The sequence below is a fragment of the Homo sapiens genome, chromosome 12, assembly GCF_000001405.40.
Source record: "Homo sapiens chromosome 12, GRCh38.p14 Primary Assembly".
NCBI classification, from domain to species: Eukaryota; Metazoa; Chordata; class Mammalia; order Primates; family Hominidae; genus Homo; species Homo sapiens.
In genome coordinates this window covers 98,529,503-98,557,379 of record NC_000012.12, presented here as the reverse complement: position 1 = coordinate 98,557,379, position 27,877 = coordinate 98,529,503, and the positions used below count along the sequence as shown (strand labels likewise).

Sequence of the window (27,877 nt, the reverse complement as noted above, 5' to 3'; positions counted from 1 at the left end):
AGTCCATTGTAATTTTAATTTGCATTCCTCTGAATACTAATAATGTTGCACCAGTGGTTACTAGCCATTCCTATATTTTGTTAAATATCTACTGAAACCCTCAATTCTTTTGGCTTTCTTTTTAGTTTTTTCTGAGATGGAGTCTTGCTCTGTCACCCAGGCTGGAGTGCAGTGGTGCAATCTCGGCCCACTGCAACCTCTGCCTCACGGGTTCAAGTGATTCTTCTGCCTCAGCCTCCCAAGTAGCTGGGACTATAGGCGCGCACCACCACACTTGGCTAATTTTTTATTTTTAGTAGAGACAGGGTTTCACCATATTGGCCAGGCTGGTCTGAAACTCCTGACCTCGTGATCTGCCCGCCTCGGCCTCCCAAAGTGGTGGGATTACAGGTGTGAGCCACCATGCTTGACCAATTCTTTAGGTTTTCTTTATATATTCTGAATACAAGTTCTTTGTCAGATCTATATAATGGAAATATATTCTCTGTGTATGCAGATACATGTGATTATATTAAATTTGCATGATTATTTGAGTTATCATTTGGTTCAAAATACTTTCCCTTGTGATTTCTTTGGCCCATGGATTTAATTATGGTATTTAACTTGAAATATTTGAGGATTTTCCAGATATGCTTTTGTTATTGACTTTTAATTCTATCCTGATGAGGAAGTATAGTTTGTTTCAATTTTTTTGAGACTTTATTGAGACTTATTACCCAACAAAAATTATATCTTTATGAATGCTCCATGTGCCCTTGAGAAGAATGTGTATTCTGCTGTCATTGGATGTAGCATTCTATAAATGTCAATTAGGTCAAATTAGTTGAAGGTACTGTTAATGTCTTTTATAAACTTGCTGAATTTTTGTTATACCAGCTACTGAAAGAAGAGTGTTGAAATCTCCAACTAGACTTTGGTATTTGTCTATTTCTCCTTTTGATTCTGTCACGTTTTGCTTCATGTATTTGGAAGTTTTGTTACTGAGTGCATACACATTTAGGACTTTGTCTTTTTAATACTGACCCTTTATGAATGTCTTTTTATTCTTATTTTATTTTTTGAGACGGAGTCTCGCTCTGTCGCCCAGGCTGGAGAGCAGTGGCACGATCGCAGCTCACTGCAAGCTCTGCCTCCCGGGTTCACGTCATTCTCCTGCATCAGCCTCTCGAGTAGCTGGGACTACAGGCGCCCGCCACCACGCCCGGCTAATTTTTTTGTATTTTTAGTAGAGACGGGGTTTCACCGTGTTAGCCAGGACGGTCTCTATCTCCCGACCTTGTAATCTGCCGCCTCGGCCTCCCAAAGTGCTGGGATTCCAGGCGTGAGCCACCGTGCCCAGCCTGAATGTCTTTTTAAAAATCTACAGTAATAGTCCTTTTCCTAAAGTCTACTTTGATATTAATGTAACCATTCTGGATTTATTATAGTTTTTTTCATGGTGTACTCTTTCATTCATTTTAAACCTGTAACTCAATATTTTAAATGTTTCTTGTAGACAGCATATAGTTGGATCTTACTTTTAAAAATCCAATCCGACAGTATCCACCTTTTAATTTAGACCAAAGTTGTCCAACCCGCAGCCCACGGCTGCATGTGGCCCAACACAAATTCATAAACTTTCTTAAATCACTTCTAATACAATGATATACAGACAGTCCCTAATTTAAGATAGTTCCAGGCAGGGCGCGGTGGCTCATGCCTGTAATCCAACCACTTTGGGAGTCTGAGGCGGACAGATCACGAGGTCAGGATATCCAGACCATCCTGGCCAACATGGTGAAACCCCGTCTCTACTAAAACACAAAAAACTAGCTGGGCGTAGTGGCGCATGCCTGTAGTCCCAGCTACTTGGGAGGCTGAGGCAGAATCGCTTGAACCCTGGAGGCGGAGCTTGCAGTGAGCAGAGATTGAGCCACTGCACTCCAGCCTGGCGACAGAGCAACATCCGTCTCAAAAAAAAAAAGTTCGATTTACCATTTTTCGATTTTATGATGCTGCTAAAGCAACACAAGTTCAGTATACTCCTTGACTTATGATGGTGTAACATCTGGATAAACCCAATGTAAATCAAGGAGCATCTGTAGTTGGATTTAAGACTACCATCTTATTACTTGTTTTCTACTTTTCCCAACCCTCCAGTGTTTTTTCCTCTTTTCCCATTTTCTTTTGGATTGAGTCTTTTTCTTAGTGTTACATTTTATGTACTCCATTAGTTTACTAGCTATACCTCTGTTTTGTTATTAATGGCTACCTTAGGGTTTACAATATGCATCTTTAACCTATTACAGTCTATCTTCAAATAATATTAATCTACATATAAGAACGTGATAACAATATTCATTTTTTATCTTTATTGACATACATTTTACATTTCACATCCCACAATACATGACTACAATTTTGTATTGAACAGTAAACTACTTTTTAAAGAAAAACAATAAAGTCTTTAGCCATAAATTTACCATTTCTGGCACTCTTCATTCCTTTGTGTAATTCCAGTTTTAATCTAGTATTCTTTTCCATTTGTAGTTTAATCTGAAGATACCTTTATTTTGAAGGATATTTTTGCTGGGTATCTACACTGATATTTCTTTCATCACTTTAAAGATGTTTCATTACTGTCTGACTTGCACTATTACTAATGAGTAGTAGTAACTAATTGCTGATTACCCATGTCATGTGTACAGTTTTCTCCAGTTGCTAAGTTGTCTTTCATTGTTTTTCTTCCCCCACCCTTTATCATAAACTGGTACGCAATAGCTTCACTAAAGTTGCCTTGTTTTTTTTTTTTTTTTTTTTTTGAGACGGAGTCTCACTCTGTCGCCCAGGCTGGAGTGCAGTGGCGCGATCTCGGCTCACTGCAAGCTCTGCCTCCCGGGGTTCACGCCATTCTCCTGCCTCAGCCTCCAGAGTAGCTGGGACTACAGGCATGCACCACCACGTCTGGCTAATTTCTTTTTGTATTTTTAGTAGAGACGGGGTTTCACCGTGTTAGCCAGGATGGTCTCAATCTCTTGATCTCCTGAACCGCCCGCCTCGGCCTCCCAAAGTGCTGGGATTACAGGCATGAGCCACCGCGCCCGGCCACAGTTGCCTTGGTTTGACTTTGTTTTGGGGTCACTTGAACTTCCCATACTTGGGCTTATATAGTTTCTGGGAACTTAGTAAATTTTCAGCCATTTCTTAAGAAATTATTTTTCCCCCTGCACTCTCTCATCCCCTGGTATTACCATTACATCTATGAAAGACTGCTAGATATTGGCCCGGCGCGGTGGCTCACGCCTGTAATCCTAGCACTTTGGGAGGCCGAGGCGGGCGGATCACCTGAGGTCAGGAGTTCTTGAGACCAGCCTGACCAACATGGAGAAACCCCGCCTCTACTAAAAATGCAAAATTAGCCGGGCGTGGAGGCGCATGCCTGTAATCCCAGTTATTCGGGAGGCTGAGGCAGGAGAATCGCTTGAACCCAGGAGGCGGAGGTTGCGGTGAGCCGAGATCGCGCCATTGCACTCCAGCCTGGGCGACAAGAGCGAAAACTCCGTCTCAAAAAGAAAAAAAAGACTGCTAGATATTGTCTCACACACAGGTTACTGAGGCTTTGTTGAGGTGCTTTTTAGCCTTTTCCTCTCTCTGCTTCAGTTTGGATAAATTTTTTTTTTTTTTTTAAAGATAGGGTCATCTCCTGAGTAGGTGGGACTATAGGCATGAGCCACCACACCTACGTATTTCCTGAAGAAAAACAAAAGAAATAGGGTCTCATTATGTTAACCAGGCTGGTTTTGTATTCCTGGGCTTAAGTGATCCTCCTGCCTTGGCCTCCCAGGAGCTGGGAATACAGGCAAAAGCCACAACGCCTGGCCAAGACACAAACATTTCTATCACCTTGCAAGAATCTCTCATACTCAGTTAATAGCCACTCCTCCCTAAAGGTATGTAGTATTCTGACTTCTATCGCCATGGACTATTTTTGCTTTTCTACATTAGGAATTCTGAATGGAACAATGCCCTACTTTTTCCCAGGCTTGCTCCATTCAACATTGTCTGTTGGGTCCATCATGATGTGACATGTAGAGATGCTCAACTTATGATGGGGTATATGTGCCAATAAACTCATCATAAACGTAAGTTGGAAATGCATTTATAGCTCCTAAAAGCTTACATCCCCTTCCTCCAAAAGGAAGGAAAATGTATTCACTGTCACAAGACCAATGTGTCAATTTCTGGACAATAAAGTCATTAGTGGTCTATTGTCAGGACTGAATTTTCATACTTAGCTTTTATTTATTCCAAAATAAGCAAATTTTTAGTTATTTGACTATAAGGTCATTAGTTTCTCTCAATACAATGAACAATAGCAATATTTAAATTGCTAATAAACCTATATGGCTATTAGTTACTAGAATAGACAATATGTTTCAATTTTATTTTTATTATTTTTTAAGATGGGAGTTTCGCCTTTGTTGCCCAGGCTAGATTGTGCCCAGGCTGGAGTGCAATGGCAAGATCTCGGCTCACTAAAACCTCCACCTCTCGGGTCCAAGCGATTCTCCTGTCTCAGCCTCCTGGGTAGCTGGGATTACAGGCACATGCCACCATGCCCGCCTAATTTTTGTATTTTTAGTAGAGGTGGGGTTTCATCATATTGGTCAGGCTGGTCTCAAACTCCTGACCTCAGGTGCTCCGCGTCTCGGCCTCCCCAAGTGCTGGAATTACAGGCGTGAGCCAACGTGCCCAGCCCGTTATTATTTTTGGGACAGAGTTTTGCTCGTCACCCAGACTAGAGTGCAATGGCACGATCTCGGCTCACTGCAACCTCCACTTCCCAGGTTCAAGCGATTCTCCCGCCTCAGTCTCCTGAGTAGCTGGGGCTGCAGGGGTGCACCACTACCCCCAGCTAATTTTGTACTTTTAGTAGACAAGGTTTCGCCATGTTGGCCAGGCTGGTCTTGAAACTCCTGACCTCAGGTGACCCACCCATCTCGGCTTCCCAAAGTGCTGGGATTACAGGCATGAGCTACCACACCCAGCGTCAGATGCTTTTAAAAAAAACAACTTCCCCAAAGAGTGCCTCAAGTTCACAGAAAATTCTAAAACTGCACCCAAGCACCGTCAACTACACATTGTTATTCACCACAGAGAAAGTATCAAATGTCTGTTGCATTAAGTGGCAAAATTTGGTAACTAATAAATTTCAATCCATTTAAAAACACTGTAAATATAGTATAAATGTTGTCGATTCAACTAATGATTCCATAATTAGGAGAACTTAACAAAACACATGGAGACCCCTTGCACTCAAACCCTATGTCTGCTCCTCTACTTTCTCCCCAAATCTTTGGTGGAAAGGATATGTGAATCCCGAAAAGCTCTCAGTGACCATCAATTCAAGGTGACAGGCTGACCACATGCTTACAGCCTATTTCTACTGAGACTTGAATACTGATAAGGGAATAAAAAAGGGTTTAACACAATGACAAAGAGGTAGAGTGAGATAGCAAAAGATACTTCAAAAAGCTGCCTGGAAGATAAAAAAAAAACAAACAAAAACAAATTAGGCCAGGGGTGGTGGCTCACGCCTGTAATCCCAGCACTTTGGGAGGATCACTTGAGGTCAGGAGTTCAAGACCAGCCTGCCCAACATGGCGAAACCCCGTCTCTACTAAAAATACAAAAATTAGCTGGGCATGGCGGCGCACCTGTAGTACCAGCTACTCGGGAAGCTGAGACAGGAGAATCACTTGAACCCTGGAGGCAGAGGTTGCAGTGAGCCAAGATGGCGCCACTGCACTCCAGCCTGGGCGACAGAGCAAGACTCTGTCAAAAAAAAAAAAAAAAAAAAAAGATTAAGAAACAGAAAAATTAGCAAAATTAAATAAGGCTTAAATTTATTATTACTGTTGTTGTTTTGAAATGGAGTCTCACTCTGTCACCCAGGCTGGAGTGTTACCTCTGCCTCCCAGGTTCGGGTCATTCTTCTGCCTCAGCCTACCGAGTAGCTGGGATTGCAGGCACCCACCACCACACCTGGCTAATTTTTGTATTTTTAGTAGAGACTAAAAATTGTCTTGCCATGTTGGCCAGGCTGCTCTTGAACTCCTGACCTCAGGTGATCTGCCTGCCTCGGCCTCCCAAAGTTCTAGAATTGTAGGTGTGAGCCACCATACCTGGCCAGAAGATTTAAATAGCCACAGAGAAAGATTAAGTGAGACCTTGTCTCAAAGAAAACAAAAACAAAAACAAGAAAAACTAGGAGTGAGCTACTTTACCCAAAAGAACGCTTCAGAGGTTTGAAACTCAGAAGGCACCACCAAAGTTGTGAAAGGAGCAGGGCTGAACACAGAACTGGTTTAAAGCATGTAAACAGAGAATTGTTTGTTTTAGGTTCCCTCTGCCATATTATATGCAACCAGAGCCATCACTTCTCAGCTGTGTGCAAACATGAAGAAGCTTCCTAACACCTCTAACCATCAGTTTCCTCATTTGTAATGATATTACGAAAATGCCTACTCCATAGGATTATCGTGAGGATTGAGTGAATCAATACATATTAAGCACATAGAAAAGTACCTAGCACATGGTAAGCATGCAATAAAACTTGTTGTTTTAAGCCTTTGATGCGATTTGCCTTATAATTAATTATGGTGTCTATACTACCTTGAGAAACACTAATTTAAGTCAAATCACCTCTGGGGACACATGAATGAGGAAGACATAATGGCACTTTCATCTTGTGAGCACAGCTCCATGACGTATCACAGTGACACGGGCTTAGTCTCAAAGCAAGACTAACAATCATAAGGGTCATAGGTAAATACTAAAGACAGTAAAAGTGGTGGGAAAAAGGAACTAGGTGTGGGAGAGGTGCCTTGGAGCGCTTAATGTCATTCTGTGAGTACAGTAGCTACACATTGCTTACCTTTGAATAAACGAGAACCCGATTACAATAAGAAGTAAAACATATGAACAGACTGAAATAAAACACAATAATCCATAAATATCACATAAGAAATGTTATCCAGAAATCACAGTTTGTGCTATCTGAAAACCATTTATTGCAACGACAAAACTAGAGGTTAATTACTTTTTATTATTGAATTATATTGTAAAGTCTACATCTACAATTTAATCAGGAAGAAATGCTTTGCATTTACATCAAGGACACATTTATTCTAATGGAATAAAACAGACACACACAAAAGACCAAGTACATGTTTTTAAAAAATGACTACATGTTTCACCTGGTCCTATTTTTGCTATTTGGACCATACTTTTAAGTGAATTGATCTTACATACATGTTAAGTCTGATTTATCTCCCCACATTTTTAAACACTAAATGAAGCTTCTCACAATTTCTAATTATAAACAAAAGGCTGAAAACAGTATGGGAAACAAAGTTTCAAAACAAAGAAAAGTTGAGTAAAAGGTGCCCCCTCTATGGCTCATCTGAAAGAAACATTTTACTCAGAGAGGCAAACATTTCTGATCTAGGAGTAAGTTTCCCACTCACTTTGCAAGGACCCACTCATTCTGCAGAAAGACCTACAAGTCTTTCTGGTCTCAATTGCAAAGTACGTGAAAATGTGTATGAAAGATCTAAAAGCTAAATATTAGAATAAGGCTAATTGAAATCAAAATTGTGTGCTGGTCTAAATATACATCTTCGGCTTCTTCCTTTTTAGTAAGTATTTTTATTTCAGATGTATTTAAAAATAACTTACATTTTTAGTGTGCTTTATGGTCAATGACTGTAAAGTTGAAACTCAAATGAGTCAGTTTAAAATTTTTGTCTCATTTGATTCTATTGAAATTTTAATCACCTACTACTTTAATCAAGTTATTCATGAGGTAAGTTTCAGCTTAAAAAAAAAAATCATCCACAAAGATAACCATTTCAAGAGTACACAAAATCATAATGCCGGCCGGGTGCAGTGGATCACACCTGTAATCCCAGCACTTTGGGAAGCTGAGGTGGGCTGATCACTTGAGGTCAGGGGTTCGAGACCAGCCTGGCCAACATGGTGAAACCCCGTCTCTGCCGAGGCAGGAAAATTGCTTGAACCTGGGAGGCAGAGGTTGCATCGAGCCCAGATCGTGCCACTGCACTACAGTCTGGGTGACAAGAGTGAGACTCCATCTCATAAAAAATAAAAAAATAAAAAATAATCATAATGCCCACCTCTTAAGAGTATACAACTTTATTAACTACTGCTTATGATGTAATATAAAAGCAAGTACTTTTTGTACTTTTTTATTTTTTTTGAGATGGAGTCTTGCTCTGTCGCCAGGCTACAGTGCAGTGACGTAATCTCTGCTCACTGCAACCTCTGCCTCCTGGGTTCAAACGATTCTCCTGCCTCAGTCTCCCTAGTAGACAGGACTACAGGCGCACATCATCACGCCCAGCTAATTTTTTTGTATTTTTAGTAGAGACGGGGTTTCACCATGTTGGCCAGGATGGTCTTGATCTCTTGACCTCGTGATCCACCCGCCCTGGCCTCCCAAAGTGCTGGGATTACAGGCGTAAGCCACCGCGCCTGGCCCTTTTTGTACTTTCTAATCAAATTATGCTGGGAAATATAGGGCAAAAAAAGCTCGGCAAAATTTGTTTCTGGTAACAAGACAATGCAATAATGAATCCAAATGAAACATAAGACCAGTGTTTACAATTTCTAACTTCTAAACAAACATACACACACTTATCTAAAACATATTTTGGTAGCAAACTGGATGACTGAATAAATGTTTTGCTGTAAATAAAAAATACAAATTTCCAATTATAGCCTTATAGCTAGCTAAACAGCTTTTCAAAACATGTACAGCTAGCCAACAATTCTCTAAAATATGTATGTTACACTAAAAGATCTCTGCTAAAAATCTACTGTATGTAAATGGGTCTTACTGAAATAGGACTTTCATGATACTGTGTCTTAAAAAGTGAGTATGATAGGGCTACAACAACATTACTATTAATAAAGGTTACAGAAGAGATTATTGCTGTACTTTTCCTCATAAACACCATCAAACTTTGTTGCAGTTACAAAAAGTACAACCAAGTTACTTTTCCTCTTACTGAATTTCATTATGTTTCACATATTTGCAGTTTTTATTCAGCAGAGAATAATTCTTAAAATCTTTTCTGTAAGAATTCTAAGTATTTAAATGTGTAGCTTCACATTATACTACCATGTTTCACCCTTCGTTTCCCAAATACACAAAAAACATATACATTTTTTCAAAAATGAAATAAGATGCCCACATTAAAAAAATAAAGCCTACAAAAAGTTCCAGAGCTAAAAAAGATTATTCATATGGCACAAAGTGATCTCCTACTAGTCCAAAGTTCAAAAACATTTTAATGAAGTCCATTTATATATATTTTGTTTGCTTTTCAATGAAATACTACATTTATTGAGGCGAAATCACATTATTTTTAGTTCTTGGAGTCAACAAGTGTACACAAATGTTTTTCAACAGTTATTGAAAATAGGAGACCAAGTTGAACGTGCCAAAGAGATACCATTCAGTTGGATTTTCTAGGGTCAACATGAAGAAAATTAGAGAAGGGATTTACTTGGTTGGTTTCCATAGCTTGATAGACCAAAAACAAAAAAACTGCCACAACAACAAACAGCAAAATTTTTATCCATACGGGAATGGAGCGTCCCTTTTTTGTCTTTTCTGACTTGACATCTGCCAAGGGAACATACTTAGGAACATATTTAGATGAAAAAGACTCCTCCATCCTGAAATCACTGAGTTCTAATGGCCGGCCTGCAGCCCCTTTGATTGGTCTGCGGCAACTAGCACTGTTGGGAGTGAAAGGAGGAAAAGAAAAATAATTTTAGATAAAGGCATGATTTAGAGAAATAACATAAAATGTCATTGCCACTCCTAATTCCAAGCACATTCCCTGAGGTAACAGTAGAAAATTGATACATATAAAGCAGTGAGGTCAGTCAACCTATTTAAAACTTCTACATATTTTCTATTTTAAAAGTTAGATGGGCTGGGCATGGTGGCTCGCGCCTGCAATCCCAGCACTTTGGGAGGCCAAGGCGGGCAGATCACCTGAGGTCAGGAGTTCAAGACTAGCCTGGCCAACATGGTGAAACTCTGTCTCTACAAAAATACAAAAATTAGCCGGGCATGATGGTGGGTGCCTGTAATCCCAGCTACTCAGGAGGCTGAGGCAGGAGAATCGCTTGAACCCAGGAGGTGGAGGTTGTAGTGAGCCGAGATCACGCCACTGTACTCCAGCCTGGGCAACAGAGCAAAACTCCGTCTCAAAAAAAAAAAAAAAGTTCGATGCATCCTTTATTAGAAAAGAATATTCAGAACACTGATAAATAGTCACTAAACCTGCCTTCTTAAAGGCTCTTCAAAGCTCATGTTTAGGAGTAAAGAGGAAAAACAAAACAGTTTTGGCTGTGTTTCTTTCAGTTAAAAATTAAGATACATAAACACAGCCTTTTCAATTAGAAAAGAGAAACTTAGGGGGGAAAAACTATTTCTCACTAGATTTTCGTTTAGATTTTAACATATGAATTTAAGTAGTAAGTAAGTGATTTATTTAAAATCCTCCATTTACCAATCGCAATTTTGAAACTCATTCAACTTTCAAGAATATTTACTGGTGGGCTTAGGGGAATTAAACTGCTCCCAAAAGAACAGTTCGTTCACTTATTTATTTAAAAGTCGGTGGGTAGACAGAGTCTCATTATGTTGCCCAGACTGGTCTCGAACTCCTGGGCTTAAGCAATCCACCTGCCTTAGTCTCTTGAGTAGCTGGGACTACAGGCATGTACCATTGTACCTGGCTCCAAAAAAACAGCTTAATTCTGAGCAGAAGTACAGTAACTTTGTGATGAAGAATTAAAAATAAAGATTCCCTACTAGAATACACTAGTACTTGTTTAAATGTATCTGAATACCTAATTCCTGTTGGTGTAGATGCTTCATAGGGGAACATTTCCTTAAGAATATCCCTTTCTACTCTTCTTTCCTCTGTTTTTTCTCCCACCTAATAAGAAACAGACAAACAAACAACCACAAGTTAAAATTTAGTGTAAACATGCAATAATTAAAACATAAATAGTAAGTTTTAGAGAACAAAATGCCTTTAAATCTATCATAGATTTTACAGCTGCCATTTCTAAATTATTATTTAGGTATCCACATGCTTCCAAGGCTCTCTTCAAATTTCTTGAAGATACCTTATATATGTGGTTATTGGAGTGAAAAACTGCCACACATTTAAATAACTGGGGGGAAAAAATTCAGTAATCTAACATGGCAATGCTAATTCCCTCATTGATTTTGTTTTTTACTATTAAGAGTATATTGTTGGGCCGGGTACGGTGGCTCACGCCTGTAATCCCAGCACTTTGGGAGGCTGAGGCGGGTGGATCACCTGAGGTCAGGAGTTCGAGACCAGCCTGACCAACATAGTGAAATCCCATCTCTACTAAAAATACAAAAATTAGCTGGGCGTGGTGGCGGGCACCCGTAATCCCAGCTACTCAGGAGGCTGAGGCAGGAGAATCGCTTGAACCCAGGAGGCGGAGGTTGCAGTGAGCTGAGACCGTGCCACTGCACTCCAGCCTGGGCAACAGAGCAAGACTCCGTTTCAAAAAAAAAAAAGTATACTGTTTCTTCATTTATTAAGAATTCTGTAGTAAAAGATAAAATACAGAAGATACTTAACATGAACCTTTAGCAAACTTTACTATATGTTTTAAAATTATAGTCAATGCAATATGCCCAAATTAAAAAAAATATAATGTTTAGCTTGTTTTACTGTTTACCTTTATGTCCAGAACAAAATAATAAATGTTTCGGCTCCTTTTGTAAAGATTCATTCAAATTAAAATGCACCATGCAGTTAGTACTTTCAAGCTTAATTACACAGGAGTTAACCCATTCCAGCACCACATGAAGTTATGTTAAAGTCTCTTATTTGACCCGTCAACAAAAGAAAGTGTAGCCTCCCTCATAGCCCAGCAGCACTTTCAAACTTGCATCCATGACAAACAGAACATATTATAAGCAGAACAGAAATGACCACTCCCTTGAAAACTGGAACTTAAGAGGGATACAGTGGCAAGAGGATAGTATTAGCATGTCAAACTATATTAGTTAATTTCTGTTTTCACTAATAAAAGTGTCCTTAAAATAATTTATGCATATTTACACACACCACCCAATAAAGAAAGCTCTGCTCCCTCCCACTCCAAAAAAAAAAAAAAAAAACAAACAAATATTTATATTTCCTCTTTGAAAGATCAATGATAGCATCGATCTAAATTGTATTCATTTACTTCAGCTCTTGTCAATGGTTTCTTTGGTGCTCTTCTGGGTATGTCTGAGAATTCAGTGATTGGCAGAATAGGAGATGCATGCTTGAAATTTCCAGTCACCCTATTGACAACCTGCCAAGATTCAAATTATTCAGACTCAGAATTATCCAAACATAACACAGACACTTAAAAAGAAAAGAAAGATATTTTATCTCTGTAATATTAGAAATTTTCCCTTAGTAAAGATTTAAGCAACACAGCCTACAAACACAACTTAGTGCCTCACATATGAAGCCTCATTCTTCAAATATTTTAACAAAAAATATCCTTATACTTTCTTGTACAATGAATTAGATTTCTTTACATAAATTGGATATTATAGGAAAATTCTAAAATTCAGAACTATATGGGGAAAATCAGTTTAAAATTGTTAAAAAAAAAAAACATGTAAATTTGAGATTTGCCAAAATTCACCACCTCCCCATTTCCAATTAAAGGGTAATTTACAAAGAATACCACTTGTATAGTTTATGAAACATATTTACTAAGGATTCGTTGCTTGAAGCCATTATAGTTTCAGCTATGGGAGTACTCTCTGAAATTACTGGACCATCTATACGAAAATGTTCTGAAGTTTCCACCTGTTAGTTTGAAAACAAAACAAAAACAATAAATATAAAATAATACTAAAACCCTACAAATCTGAAAACCCAAGGAATAAGCCTTGCATCACCCTTTTCCTTGGAGTTCTTCTTGACCCTCTTGTAGATTCCCTAGTTAATGCCTGCAGAGGTCCGCCTTTTGAAGATCCACTTGTCCATTCAGTCTCAGTTATTCCAGCTTGAGAATAGCTCTATTCAAGCATCAACACATTAAAAAGTCATATTCTAACATCAAATACTTTAATAACGGCCATACTGGCACACTGAGAAGCCATGAAATAGAAGTCTCCAAATGCCAGCATTTACAAACAAGGCTATGTCCTCAAAATATTCCTAAATGTATTAATTGAACTGATATTTAGGCATCAGGAAACACTTAAAAAGTGCTAAAATACACTAAAGAATCCACCTATAGTAGCTCACAAATTATAAACATTATGGGAAAAAAAGCACATCAACTATCACCAGTTCCCTTTTTGACTCACTGTGTGCTATTTGGCTCTAGTATTGGAGCTACATCTCTGTCTAAACAAAAAGCAGACTGATCATGACTTAGAAAAAAGTCATCTATTATAAGTCAGTTTCCTTTTAAAACAAAAATACAAACTTTTGTAATTGTTAGCATAAACATTATTATTTTCATATGGTTATAATCATTTTAGTAGAATCAGTTTAAATTATAATCCCACATATAGCTTATTTGAACTAAAAAATTCTCAGGTGTCAAATTTTTCTTGGAAACAGATACAAAATTAGGTAGCCACAAAAACCCTGTGGTCACTCTTTAATGAATATGCAAGCCTAACGTCACTTTCAAATCTCAATGCTATCCATGTCACTACAGAAAGACAGAAAACAGCTGCCTCAGATTAATTCTCAGTCTCAGATTAATTTCTATGTTCCACTGATCATTTTTAAAGAATCCAGCATTTCTTACATACTGGTTTAAAACCCATTAGATCAGTTCTTCTTAAATTGTAATGTGCCTATCAATCACTTGAAGCTTCTGTTAAATGCAGATTCTGATTCTGTAGCTGTAGGGCCCGAAATTCCGCATTCCAAGTAGTTTAAGGTTTTCAGTTTTGAAGTCGCTATTACCAGATGATTCTTTTAAATTCTTTTAACTACAGAACATCCATCAATGATCAGTATTATAGTAGAGTGTCCTTCTGTTGTCACTTTTGCTTTCACGCCAATATTTAACCTAGATTACTGATGGTTTTAGGTCCAAGTCAATGTCTATTAAAGACAGATTTTTTTTTTAAACTTTAATCCTGTGACAGGAGTGGTCATCCAATAAATATGCCTAAATGGCTGGATGTAATACTACCAAAACCCCACAAGTTACAGACATAGTCTCATAAATCATGGTTTTGTATTTATCTATATTTGGAATTGATATTATAAGAGTTTTAAGTCACAATCTGAATCTCTGGGTTCCTCATCCTATCAATTAGGAAGTATTTGCTGAATGCAAAATTATTGTCAAAAGAGAAACTTGTAAACAAATTACAGACATACACAGAGTAACTGCTTTTTAATTTTTATTTTATTTATTTTTTTGAGACAGAATCTCGCTCTGTTGCCCAGGCTGGAGTACAGTGGTGCAATCTCCACTCACCGCAACCTCCACCTGCGAGGTTCAAGTGATTCTCCTGCCTCACCCTCCTGAGTAGCTGGGATTACAGGCACGCACCAGCACACTTGGCTGATTTTTTTGTATTTTCAGTAGAGACAGGGTTTTGCCATGTTGGCCAGGCTGGTCTCCTGACCTCAGGTGATCCACCCACCTGGGCCTCCCAAAGTGCGGGGATTACAGGTGTGAGCCACTGCACCTGGCCAGAGTAAGTGGTTTTTAATAGTCAAATTACCAACTATTTGAATAGACGGAAAGGTAGTTTTATAATCTGAGATTCTCAATCCTTGTGGCACAGTACCATCAAGGAGAGCTTTAAAAAAAAAAAAAAAAGCAAATGCCCCCAACTACCATAACCAATTAAATCAGAATCTCTCCAGGTCTGGGAATAGATAATTTCTAAAGCTCCTGAGATAACTAAAAGCCATCTTGAAGGCCTATCAATTTAAGTAAAACATGACCAATATGGTTACTCGTACTAACTTTATTAAAAAACAAAACAAAACAAAAAAGCCTCATATTCCTCCATTTGAGAACAGTACTTTCAAACACTGCTGGTGGGAATGCAAAATGCTTCAACTCATATGCAGAGAAATGTAATGGTGAAATTACCTAGCAATTTTACTGGTACGCTTCCCCAAGATAAACTGGCAAAAAATATGCAGTGACACATGCAAAATGCTGCTCCATGGTTCATCCTGGCATTATTCATAGCAACATACAGCTGAAAACAACTCAAATATTCACCAAATGGAGAGTGGTTAAATAAATTACAGTACATCCATAAAATGCAACACATAAAATGCAGTTGTACAAAGCAATGAGGAAGATGGCTACGTTCCGATATGGAGTGATCTCTAGGTTTAGGTTAAAAATGGAAATGTACAAAGCAGGCTGCATTTTATGTAAAAGGGGAGCATATAAAAATCTATATATTTACTTATATTTTTAAAAAGAAACAAAATATAAATCAAAACAATAAAAATGCTTATCTGTAGATGGAAGGGAAAAGGACAGAAGCCAAAATTCTGACTCTACCTTATTTTGCCTACATAAAACTACATTATACTCTCAACACAATTAAAAAATAATAAAAGAAAAAGCAATCCTAGCATTAGAGAACAAAAAAACCTAACTATTAAGTTGGTGGCTGTATGACACAAAAAAATTCTTTCAAGTGACTTTAAGCACAGTGTTTTGACATTACATTCTAGTGGGATATGTCCTAAAGACAAGGAAAACAAAAGCCCAAATTGCATTTAACAGTCTTATTGTTAGTAGTAATACTGTATTATTTAGAAACACATATATGTTGTGATACTTACATAAGTAACAACATCATTTGAAGAACCAAGATATTCAGCATAAGATAAAAATGATACAAGTATAACATAACCCAAAATTAGCCTGTATTTATAAATTTGAAATATCACCATTAATTCATGATTTACCTAGCACTACCTACTGAAAAGACCCAGAAACAATGACAACCAGTAGGAATGAACATGTCAGCATCCAAATTGTTGCTTCCAAATAGTATTATCTATTAAAAGGATCACGGTTCCTTAGAAACATGGCTGATTCCAGGCATGACGCAGGAAGTATACATGAGCCTGGGACGTCTTACTATTCCAGAAAACAAGAAACTATCAAAGATAAATGGGGGAAGGAATTAAAAAATACAGGAACCAACTTAGTAATTCCTAATGGCTACAGATGGCACAATGTGAACATCAAAAAAGAATGATGACTGTAACTGATCATAAATTCAATACATAAAAAAAACCTCAAAATAATAGACCTAGGCAATAATCATATGACAATGGCTGTTAGAACCATTAAATGAAAGGACAATGTGGATCTTTATAACAGATGGATTAATCTTTCAAAATCTAAATCAATTACTAATTTTAGCATCGCCAGAAAGACATTCTATACCTCCTAAAACGATGTAACAGGAAGGCCGCTATATCATTTAAGTATTCTTGTGAAAGAAACTGGACATGGATCTGACCAACCCTCTGGATCTGTGCCGTCCAATATGGTAGGCCACTAGCCACATATGGTCATTGAAATTTAATTTAAATTAAAATTAAAACATAGTTTCCGCCAGGCGCAGTGGCTCACGCCTGTAATCCCAGCATTTTGGGAGGCTGAGGCGGGTGGATCACCTGAGGTCGGGAGTTCGAGACCTGCCTGACCAACACGGAGAAACCCCGTCTCTACTAAAAATACAAAATTAGCCGGGCGTGGTGGCACATGCCTGTAATCCCAGCTACTCAGGAGGCTGAGGCAGGAGAATCGCTTGAACTTGGGAGGCAGAGGTTGTGGGGAGCTGAGATCACACCAACCTTGGCAAAAAGAATGAAACTCCATCTCAAAAAACAAACAAACAAAAACAAAAACAACAACAACAACAAAGCAAAACAGAGTTTCTCAGCCTCACTAGTCACCATCGAAGTATTCAATAGCTAGTGGCTACTGTAACGGATAGCACAGGTATGAAAAATTTCTATCACAGAAAGGTCTACTGCATAGCCTCACTACAGATCTAACCCACTCTACAGAAAATGCAGCGTATAGAGAAGCTAATTAAATGACATAAAGAAGCAACCTAACAAATCCAGAATGTTGGGAAATTCTGTAATGACCTGGTTTCTTCACCAAATAAATGGAGGGAAGAGAAAAAGTTACAGTGGTAACAGCTACAGACTTGAGAGAGTAAAACAACCAAAAATCAAACCGGATATGTGGATCCTGTCTGGATCCTGATTTGAACAACATAATCATAAACGAAACATTTCTGAAACTAGAGAAATTTAAACATGAATTAGATACAAATAAATTATTAATTTTATTAGGTGTGATATTGGCATTGTCACTGGAATAGCACTTATCTTTCAGAGATATATGCTAAAATGCTGACTTTTTAATGTGTGAAACACTATGTCAAAGACTGCTTTAATATACTCCAGGAAAAAGCAAAATAAAAAAAATCAAAAGCAATTTATTGCCAGGTGCGGTAGCTCATGCCTGTAATCCCAGCAATCTGGGAGGCCAAGGCGGGTGGATCACCTGAGGTCAGGAGTTCGAGACCAGCTTGGCCAACATGGTGAAACCTGGTCTCTACTAAGAATTCAAAAACTAGCTGGGCATGGTGGCGGGAACCTGTAATCCCAGCTACTCAGGAGGCTGAAGCAGGAGAACTGCTTGAACCCAGGAGGCGGAGGTTGCAAGTGAGCCGAGATTGTGCCACTGCACTCCAACCTGGGCGACAGAGTGAGATTCTGTCTCAAAAAAAAAAAAAAAAAAAGTAATTTAAAAAGCTGGAGGGTGTGGGGTGATGAAACCAAACTGGTAAAACACTGACAACTGTGGCACATCTATGACTGGAGGGTCATTAAACTCTTCCCTCCACTCTTCTACATGTTTTAAATTTTCTGCAATAAAGCCACTGTCTAATTCTGCCTGTCATCTAAACCTACACTCCTTTGACTATTTATTCTGCTCCTCAGTTTAGATTCCTCCAACTCAATTATCCCTTAGACCATCTTTATTATTTATTTATTTATTTATTTATTTTTGAGACAGAGTTTCGCTCTTGTTGCCCAGGCTAGAGTGCAATGGCGCGATCTCGGCTCACAGCAACCTCCGCCTCCAAGGTTCAAGCGATTCTCCTGCCTCAGCCTCCGGAGTAGCTAGGATTACAGGCATGCACCACCATGCCTGGCTAATTTTGTATTTTTAGTAGAGACAGGGTTTCTCCATGTTGGTCAGGCTCGTCTCGAACTCCGGACCTCAGGTGATCCGCCCGCCTCGGCCTCCCAAAGTGCTGGGATTACAGGCGTGAGCCACCGCGCCCGGCCTATTTCCTTATTCTTCAGCATGCTCCTGAAGCTATTTGTTAGGACTACTACATAAAAGGGCAATAAAACATGTATTCCAGTATTTGGTTCTATGTTAACAAAGTCTTCATTCATTCAATGCTCTGTATGTTCTTGTCACAAAGCTCATTTCTAACAAATCGTTCTGAAATTCAACTTATCAACTACATCAAATGAAGAGAGAGACTGACTTGCCTTAAGGAATCAAGAATAATTCCTCTAAGGATTTGATTTTAAAACGACAAACAGGCTGGGCGCGGTGGCTCACACCTGTAATCCCAGCACTTTCGGAGGCCAATGCAGGTGGATCACCTGAGGTCAGGAGTTTGAGACCAGCCTGGCCAACACGGTGAAACCCCGTCTCTACTAAAAATACAAAAATTAGCTGAGCGTGGTGGCATGTGCCTGTAATCCCAGCTACTTGGGAGGCTGAGGCAGGAGAATCGCTTGAGCCCAGCAGGGTGGAGGTTGCAATGAGATGGGATCACGCCACTGCACTCCAGCCCGGGTGACAAGAGCAAAACTCCGTCACAAACAAACACACAAAGTGACAAATAGGAGATGGAAAAGATAACCAACTAGACAAATCATCCAGCTAGACATAGCAGGGGTAAGGAAAATGACTCTAGGAATAGCTGTCTTATAAAGCATCAGCCAAATCAATGCTGCATTAGTCAATAATTTGTTCTCTGTAAACAATACTAGGTTAGTCAATAATTTGTTCTCTGTAAACAATACTAGGTTAGTCAATAATTTGTTCTCTGTTCATTTATACCTATGCTTATTTTCTCCTTAGTTTCCTACATTTCCCTTTTGAAAAACTGAAACGCCTCTCCCACAATAGAAAAGGTAAATTTTCATCTGAAATAAGGAAAGAAAACTGTAGTCTTAGGACCAGACTAGCTTCTGAGTTTAGGAAAGAATCGCAGAAGACAAGACAGGCAAACATAAAATCAAAGTCAGAAATCTAGAGACAAAGACACAAATATAAAACCCTTCCATTGCCTTTTAAAGAAATTGTATCAAAAGTGTCTAGATATTTCCACCTTTTAAAATATTTCTTTCAAAACACCATATAACTGGCTTTGAACTACATCTAGCACAGACTCAAACACAAATGAGACATTAAAAATTTGCTTTTGCTGTAATCACAGGCTACACTACTGACAAAACCCACAAAGTTTAGATTTTTAGTATCATTTAACAACAGAATTAAGTTTATTGAGCGTGCTGGAATCTGGGTGTCAACCATTAAAGGCTAAAACATGGATTAGTGTTGTCAGGAGGTTATTTATACCTGTACACGGTGGTAATAAAACTAAAGATACCTGATTGTGCTCAACTCTTCTTTGCTTGAGTGTTACTGGAGTCTTTGCTCTGCCCTTTAGTGGTTCTCTCTTCTCAAGCTTGAGCTCTATTTTAGAGTCTGGAAATAACATTGGAGAAACCATTACTCTCTGAAACACTCAATAAATGATGATGTTATCCTAATATTAATCGGGAACCCTGGTTTTAGGCACATTAAAAGGTGAAAAACAAGTCTACTGGTAATACCTCACTAGTCCAAAATTGTTTAACTGCAATTTGTCTTGAAAACTGTTTCATTATTTATCCCATTTTTGCTTATCTCCCTTACCCTTTCATCTGACAACCACTTCTTCCTACCTATTCTCCTTTCCTTTATCTGGGACTCATAGCTTTGAACATGAAGTGAGTTCAAAATGCTCCCACGAAAGCTTTTCAGTAAGAACAATTTAGATGTGGAAAAAGGCCATTTAAAATAACACAATTGTTACCATTGTTTTGTCCATACAGTATACTACTACTGTACAGCAAAGGTTGACTTACTAAATTAAAATTTGGAACATAGAAGGGAAAGTTTAAAAATGAAAAAAATCCATATAGTACCAAGCTTCTATAAGTAACTGCCATAACATTAATAAGTACAATATAAAAGCTTTTTTGATGTAGTTATAAAAAACCTAGGTACAACTCAGGTAAAGAAGGAATCTTGTTCACAGAAAAATACGACCAATCACAGGTCACTTCTCGTCCCAGTCCTTATAATAAAAATAACATTTCTTTGAAAAGAAGCCAATACTTATACACTTGTCACCATGATAGTTATTAACCTAACAACGCAAGGATATGTATTTTTTAATAGGCTTCAATATTCCAGTCTCCTAGTCTTAAATTCATCATCATTTGAAGATCTAGGTTTTGAAAAGACTGATTTTAGTTAACATCCCTGGCAGGGCATGGTGGCTCACGCTTGTAATCCCAGCACTTTGGAAGGCCGAGGTGGGCGGATCACCTGAGGTCAGCTTAAGACCATCCTGGCCAACATGGTGAAACCCCGTCTCTACTAAAAATACAAACATTAGCCAGGGTTGGTGGCAGACACCTGTAATCCCAGCTACTCAGGAGGCTAAGGCAGGAGAATTGCTTGAACCTGGGAGGCGGAGGTTGCAGCGAGCTGAGATCACACCATTGCACTCCAGCTTTGGGGACAAGAGCGAAACTTCATTTCAAAAAAAAAAAAATCCCTTTTTGTAGACATTTATCATGGTATAGCAAAATTAGTCAGTTGTTATTTCTAAAACTTCTACTACCAAAAATTTAAGTTAGATTACTTTCTTACTGAAGAGACAGAAAGGAAGTCAATTCTAAAGTTTTACATGAACTCTGAACTTGTGTGAAAAAGTGGTCAAGACATCTATATGTGTCTTGCTAACTTTCCAGTGTTAATACTAGTTAGTACAGAATCTATTTAATACTTGCAGGTTCCCAAAAACGAACAGTGATTTTTATCAAGTTAGTTTAAACAGTTCAGTCTTTATTTAGGACTAAGATTTCAAGTCCATCTCCCAACACTTCTATCAATGGATCTGTCAATGTATCTATGTTTGGTACAACCCCCAGCAATATAAAATCTATTTTATGCTTTGTTAACTCAGAATCTAAGAACTAGAAAGCACAAAGTAAAAAAAACCATTAGTAGTGGAATAGAAATCGGTTAAACGAATAAGGTATCTGGTTACAGATTAATTCCTCTTATAAATTTAGATTCCAACAGTCAATAAAAACATGGTCCTCAAACAGAAGAAAAACCATACCATAATCAGAATATTTTCAATTATACCACTGAAATGTCAAAGTGAGTTTCAATGATGAAATGGAAAAGGGGTGTTCATATACAAATATTTAACTTGTTGCAACTCCAAGAATAAAGCACACAGAACAACATGTTTCTGGAGACCACACAACACTGTTCAAATTTAACAACTTTATTGAATTTGCAGAAGCATTCTACAGTAATACATTTTTAAAAATCACATAGCACTCAGTAGGTACATGTATACATGTACATTTCAGAAGACAACAAATAAAATTACTCTCAGAAAGCTGCAAAGATGGACACATATAATCTAAGAATGTGGTAATGGCCAGAGGGAGTACCCAAGAGACCATATTTTATTATGCTTAAGGCTACTACTTTCCACAATACCTCTGCAGTTAAGACTCTTAACTTACAATCACAGAAATGAAAACATGATAATACACTGCTTTATACAGACATACAGATACTGGGATATAGTATAATTTCTTATGGCTTAAAAAAATTTAATTTGCTTTTAGAGTCTATATTGCTAAACTTAACTTTCCACAAAATACAATATATCATGAAAGCAAAGTATTATTTTTTAAAAGGCCCCATTATCTGACAAAATAGATGGTGAACATGCACTATCCCAGGATATCTATTATTATCCAAAGAAGTGTTTCTCAAAGTGTGGTCCATGGTACTGGTCCATGAATTGGTTGCTACCAGTCAATGAAGAGATAAATTACTTGCATCAGAGTGTAAATCAATACATTGCTTTAGCTATTAATAAAATTTTGCTAAAAAATCAAATCCTGTCATTGACCTAAAAAGTATCTCTAGATTTAAATTCTTGTGCATGCTTATCTTGCCTGTGGATAAGTAACAGTTTGTAGACTGGTGCTTTGAGTTGCATTGATCTAGACTACTATGATTGATGTTGCAGACATGAATAAATAACAAAGAAAAGTAAGAAAATATGAGCAAAAATATGGACAAGTTATGGAACGTGAAAAGATACTGAGATAAAAGTATCAAAAAGAACAACATCACTGTTCTGAATGTGTAACAAATGTTTAATTCTGTCCTAGGTATAAAGGAGGATGCATATTATTCTATTGAACAGTAAATACTCCTTATATCCTAATTAGAATTTTCTTAGTTTTGGAGAATTGTAAAAACATAAGTAAAGCAGGAAACAGAAAACAACTTAGAGACTAATATGTGATCTAGAAAGCGTTAAATTGTTTGTACCAGGCTTCCTATCTACGCAAATCTTTAGAAAAGACAAGTAGTTCTACACAGGCAATTACTTTTATACTGTAATTTGATGGGTAGAAGCTTAACATTTTGTAATTAGCCCTATCTGGAAACTAAAACAACCTTAACAGAAAAGAAAATGTTGGCATAAAGTACCTGAAAGATAAGATAGATGTCTTTTTGTCCTTAATTTTACTAGTGTTTATTTCCACGCTTTTTAATTACTTTGCATACTTCTCCTCCAAATAATGTTCCACCTTTAAAGGGAGTGGAAGCCAGCTTATTCTTAGAAGCTAAATTAATTTTGCAATCCTTCAGCCAGAGGTATCGACGACCTACAGTGGCATTTCCCATGGTATGGGCAGCCATCTTCACTTCATCAAATGCAGCTTCACAAATATATGAGGCTGCATCATATGTTTTGCTCAGAATCCCAAGCGCTTGGTGGGTACGACTAGGATCTGAGCTAAGAATCTGTGCAGCTTGACTAATGTCTGCCTGCATAGCCTTAGCTACAAAGGCAGTGTGAGTTGCAATCTGCAATGCTGATGCTGCAGCTTCATATGCTCTACAGAGTGCTAAGTCCAACTGCTGATTGCAAGACTCAGTGGAGGCTGCTTGAATACCTCCTAGTGGAGTGGCTTCAGAAATAAACCCTAGGATTTCATCATCTACTTTTGGAACTGATAATATCTGTGTTGCCTCCCTGGAAGAAACTGGATATTTGCATGCCAGTGAAGGCAGCTGCCTGTCAACTTGCTGCCATTCTTCTTCAATTACTTTTAAAATAGATTCATGGAAGGGAAAAGATAGTTCTGAGGCATCTATTTTATCATGCTGTGATTGCTTAGCCACTTCTAGACCTAAGGTAGTGAGTGAATGAGAGACAACAGTTTTGGCAAAAGAAGACATCAGTTCGGATCCAGGTATGTTCTGAAATGCCACAAAGGAACCTGAATCCCTTTCCTCCACTGACTTCTCACTCAGTCTAGGGACTTTTCTTGGAGGAGACAGGAATTCAGTTTCTTGAAACTTAGACTGATCAATTCTCTTCTGTATGTTTTCTACATCCAGTGGGGGCATAGAGTTAGAAGTTCCAGGCAAACTACCTACCCCACCCTGGACCAACAGAGAATTGACATAATCTCTGATTGCCTGGGCAAGTGGCGGAGAAATTAGTTGTGAGCTCTCAGACTCTTCTAGTGCTTTCCTTTTACTGGAGAGAGGCGATTGATCTGAAATATGGGACCTCTCAGGACATAATGGTTGAATTCCACTTTTCTCTCTACCGCAAATATTTTCTACTATGTCTTTATAGTAACCAGTGGTGGTTTCTTTAATCAGTGAAGGAGAAGCTGCAGTAGAGACCAACATGGCACTGTGTTCAGGCTGAGAAGATGACGAAGAACTTTTCTCTAAACACCTATCATGGCTAGACTTGCATGAAATAAACAAATTCCTTTCAGAGGCTAACTTCTGCAACTGTCCCCTGCCAGGCAAGTTTGTGGCAACAAGAGGCTCCCTAGGTAGGTCTCCCTTAGAAGTATGTACTTTCTTAGCTGCCTGTAGTTCGGTACTGCCCAAAGGAGGACGGGTGGAGATTTCAGGAAAAGAAATACCCTGAAAAAATCCACCACCAGAGGGAGTAGTTCCAAGTTCAGAAAAAGGAACAATATCCCTAGTGGACTTCACTTTCTTGTGTTCTTTCTTCTTTCCTGTAGAGGCAAAAGAGGCAGGAAGTTTAAGCATTACCTGTGTTTGAGCTGATTTTATTCTTTGCCTCTTTGCTAAAAATAGTGCTGTCAAAGGAAAAGACTATAATTTCATATTCTGAACTAATCTGCCAGATTTGCCCTGGTAGACAAAGCTTATTGAGATATAAACAATCTGGATCAAAATAAATAATCACAAGTCATATTAATTAAAAGTTTACAAAAATCAAGTTGTATTTATAATTTTTAAAGGACATTTATTTCACATACTATCCTTAAAAAATATTTAAACATCATGATCAAATTTTAAGATACTATACAGTCTACTAAAAATATAGTCAAAATATTTGCTTTAAAGTTGCCCTGAGGTCAGATTAACAAAAACTGCGAACAATTTAAATGCCTATCAATAGAGAACAGAGAAAATATGCCATATTTAAATGCTACCACTATGTATTAATTATGAAGAATAAACAGATATGTAATTAACAGGATTAGATTTCAAAAATAATGGAGTAAGAAAAAGCAAGTGATAAGATTTAGCATACTGTTTATATAAATTTTTTATTCTTAAAGTATAAAATAATACCATGTATTAGACAGATGTGTATGTGAAATATAAAACTTGAAAGACAGGCATTGAATTAATAATAGTAGTTACTTCTGTGGAGGTGATAGGTACAGGTAAGTACGAGAAACTTTGCCTTTACTTGTAATACTTTATTCTCTCAGAAAAATGAGATTTGTAGCAAAAAAGACAAAGTTAACTTGCAATTTCAGGTGATGGAAAATTATGAATTTGTACTATGTTGCTTCTTAGAATTTTCAATAAAAAGTATTTAAATCAAATTACAGAATTACTCTAATGACACGAATAAAATTTGTGTATCTTGCCAATATTGTTTTAAATTTTACTTTCTTCATGGTCACTGAATTTTGAGTGTGAAAAAATTCCATACATTTGATTAACATCATTTAAAATTTTACCTTCTTCATTGTCACTGTATCTGTCAGAATCATTACTTCCATTCTGCCTTGTATTTTCTGCTGAAGAAGAAATTGTTGGCAGAGGAGTAGAAGATCTTGATTCTGTTCCTTGTTCCCTCAGTTTCAAAAGCTTTTTCTCATATAGCTTCCTGGTTGTTCCTGGATTAAGGCAGAACTTGCTTTAGTACCTGTATTGTTTCATTTAGGATGCAGCTCAGACACTATCTTCAGCAACATTTTAAGCTATTTTCACCCTTTATTTTTCTAAACTCAAGTTCTTAAAAAAAAAAATACCATATAATGCGGCCAGACATAGTGGCTCACGACTGTAAACCCACCACTTTGGGAGGCTGAGGCGGGTACATTACTTGAGGTCAGGAGTTCGAGACCAGCCTGGCCAACACAGGGAAACTATCTCTACTAAAAATACAAAAATTAGCCGGGCATGGTGGCACACGCCTGTGATCCCAGCTACTTGGGAGGCTGAGACAGGAGAATCACTTGAAATTGGAAGGCAGAGGTTGCAGTGAGCTGAGATCGCACCACTGTCCAGCTGGGAGAGGAAGTAAGATGCTGTCTTAAAAAAAAAAAAAAAAAAAAAAAGGACGTGGTGGCTGATGCCTGTAATCCCAGCACCTCCAGAGGCCAAGGCGGGTGGATCACCTAAGGTCAGCAGTTCAAGACAAGCCTGACCAACATGGTGAAACCCAGTCTCTACCACAAATACAAAAAATTAGCTGGGCCTGGTGGTGGGCGCCTGTAATCCCAGCCACTCAGGAAGCTGAGGCAGGAGAACTGAACCCAGGAGATGGAGGTTGCGGTGAGCTGATATCGCACCATTGCATTCCACACAACTATATAATGCACTCTTTTTACAACAGGTGGTTTTTTGGGAAATGACATTTCTTTTAATAGCATGAAATACATAGTAGGTTAATACAGGCCTTTCTATAGACCATCTACTGAAAAGCCATGTATGACTATTTTTGACTGAAGTCTTGCATTTATTTTCTCTACTACTACGTAATAGTACTTGCCAAGGTAGAAAAATCACATGTAAGCGGATTGTACCTCTATGAAAAATAACTATGATTAAATTTCCACAACTCTAAGACATTAATATGCCTGTATTCAGTTATGGGGAAAAGAAAAGTTCTATAAATCAGATTTAAATATAACAACTTTGCAGTTAAAATGACCTTTTATGGAAAACACATATCACAAAGCAAAATTGATTACAAATTCTTAATACATTTGAACATCAGTGACAGTTTAAAACCAAAATAGATTTTGTTTTACATTAACTGTATTATCTTTCCTTAACTCCTGGTAAGATGAGCAAAATGATAATGGATATTTTTTAGAAGCAACATGTGTCCAGAAATGTTATATAAATAGCCTTAAGATGAACAGGTCATACATCAACATATAATTTAATGTAGGCTGATATTATAACACACATTTTTCAGTGTCTCCCTTTTGGAATTTCTTTTTTTTTTTTTGAGACAAGGTCTTGCTCTGTTGCCCAGGCTGCACTGCAGTGGTGCGATCATAGCTCACTGCAACCCTGAACTTGTGGGCTTAAGCAATCCTCCCACCTTTGCCTCCTGAGTAGCTAGGACTACAAGTGTGCACTACATGCCTGGCTACTTTTTTTTTTTTAAATAGAGACAAGGTTTCACTATGTTGTCCAGGCTGCTCTTCAACTCCTGAACTCAAGCAATTCCACCACCTTGGCCTCCCAAAGTGTTGGGATTACAGGCATGAACTACCATGCCCAGGCCTTTTAGAACTTTAAACAAAAACATTTTTTAAAAGTGTTATATATCTGTTGGTACTTGTATATGAATAAGCTTATGATTATTTGGAAGCAGCTTATACATTAAAACAAAATATTCTAAATCTTTATTTGCAACTATACCTATAGCAAAACCTACCAAATCTCTAGCGTCCACAATTTTAGGTAACTTAGAAGATCAAGACCAGATGCAGTGACTCATGCCTGTAATCCTAGGACTTAGGGAGGCCTAAGTGGGAGGACTGCTTGAGCCCAGGAGTTCAAGACCACCCTGGGCAATATAGTGTGCCCCCATCCCTACAAAAACTACAAAAATTAGCCGGGAATGGTGGCACGTGCCTGTGTTCCCAGCTACTTGAGAGGCTGAGGTGGGACTGCTTGAGCCTAAGCTGAGGCTGCAGTAAGCCATGACTGTGCCACTGCACTCCAGCGTGGACAACAGAGCAAAGACCTTGTCAAAAAAAAAAATAATAATAAAATGGAATTTTCTCATCTTGAGGTTATTGCTAAGACCCTCCAAAACTAAGGCATAATCAAC

The 27,877-nt window shown here is 38.1% G+C and overlaps 1 protein-coding gene across 6 annotated transcripts in view; it reads right to left on the bottom strand.

Moving 5' to 3' along the window:
- TMPO (thymopoietin) overlaps positions 7,029-27,877 on the bottom strand; it is a 34,779-nt gene continuing 13,930 nt past the window's right edge. For 2 of the 6 annotated variants that reach the window (NM_003276.2, XM_017019914.3), the window contains exons 3-4: positions 25,542-25,700; positions 21,746-24,557 (exon numbers count right to left, since the gene is read on the bottom strand). In NM_003276.2, the coding sequence (NP_003267.1) occupies positions 23,038-24,557; positions 25,542-25,700 (1,679 nt within the window). In that variant the 3' untranslated portion in view covers positions 21,746-23,037. Of the gene's footprint in view, positions 9,808-10,932; positions 11,022-12,318; positions 12,430-12,842; positions 12,939-13,030; positions 13,151-19,807; positions 19,906-21,745; positions 24,558-25,541; positions 25,701-27,877 lie in introns of those variants that run through there. The other 4 variants (NM_001032283.3, NM_001307975.2, XM_005269132.5 and 1 more) reach the window with 4 other exon arrangements.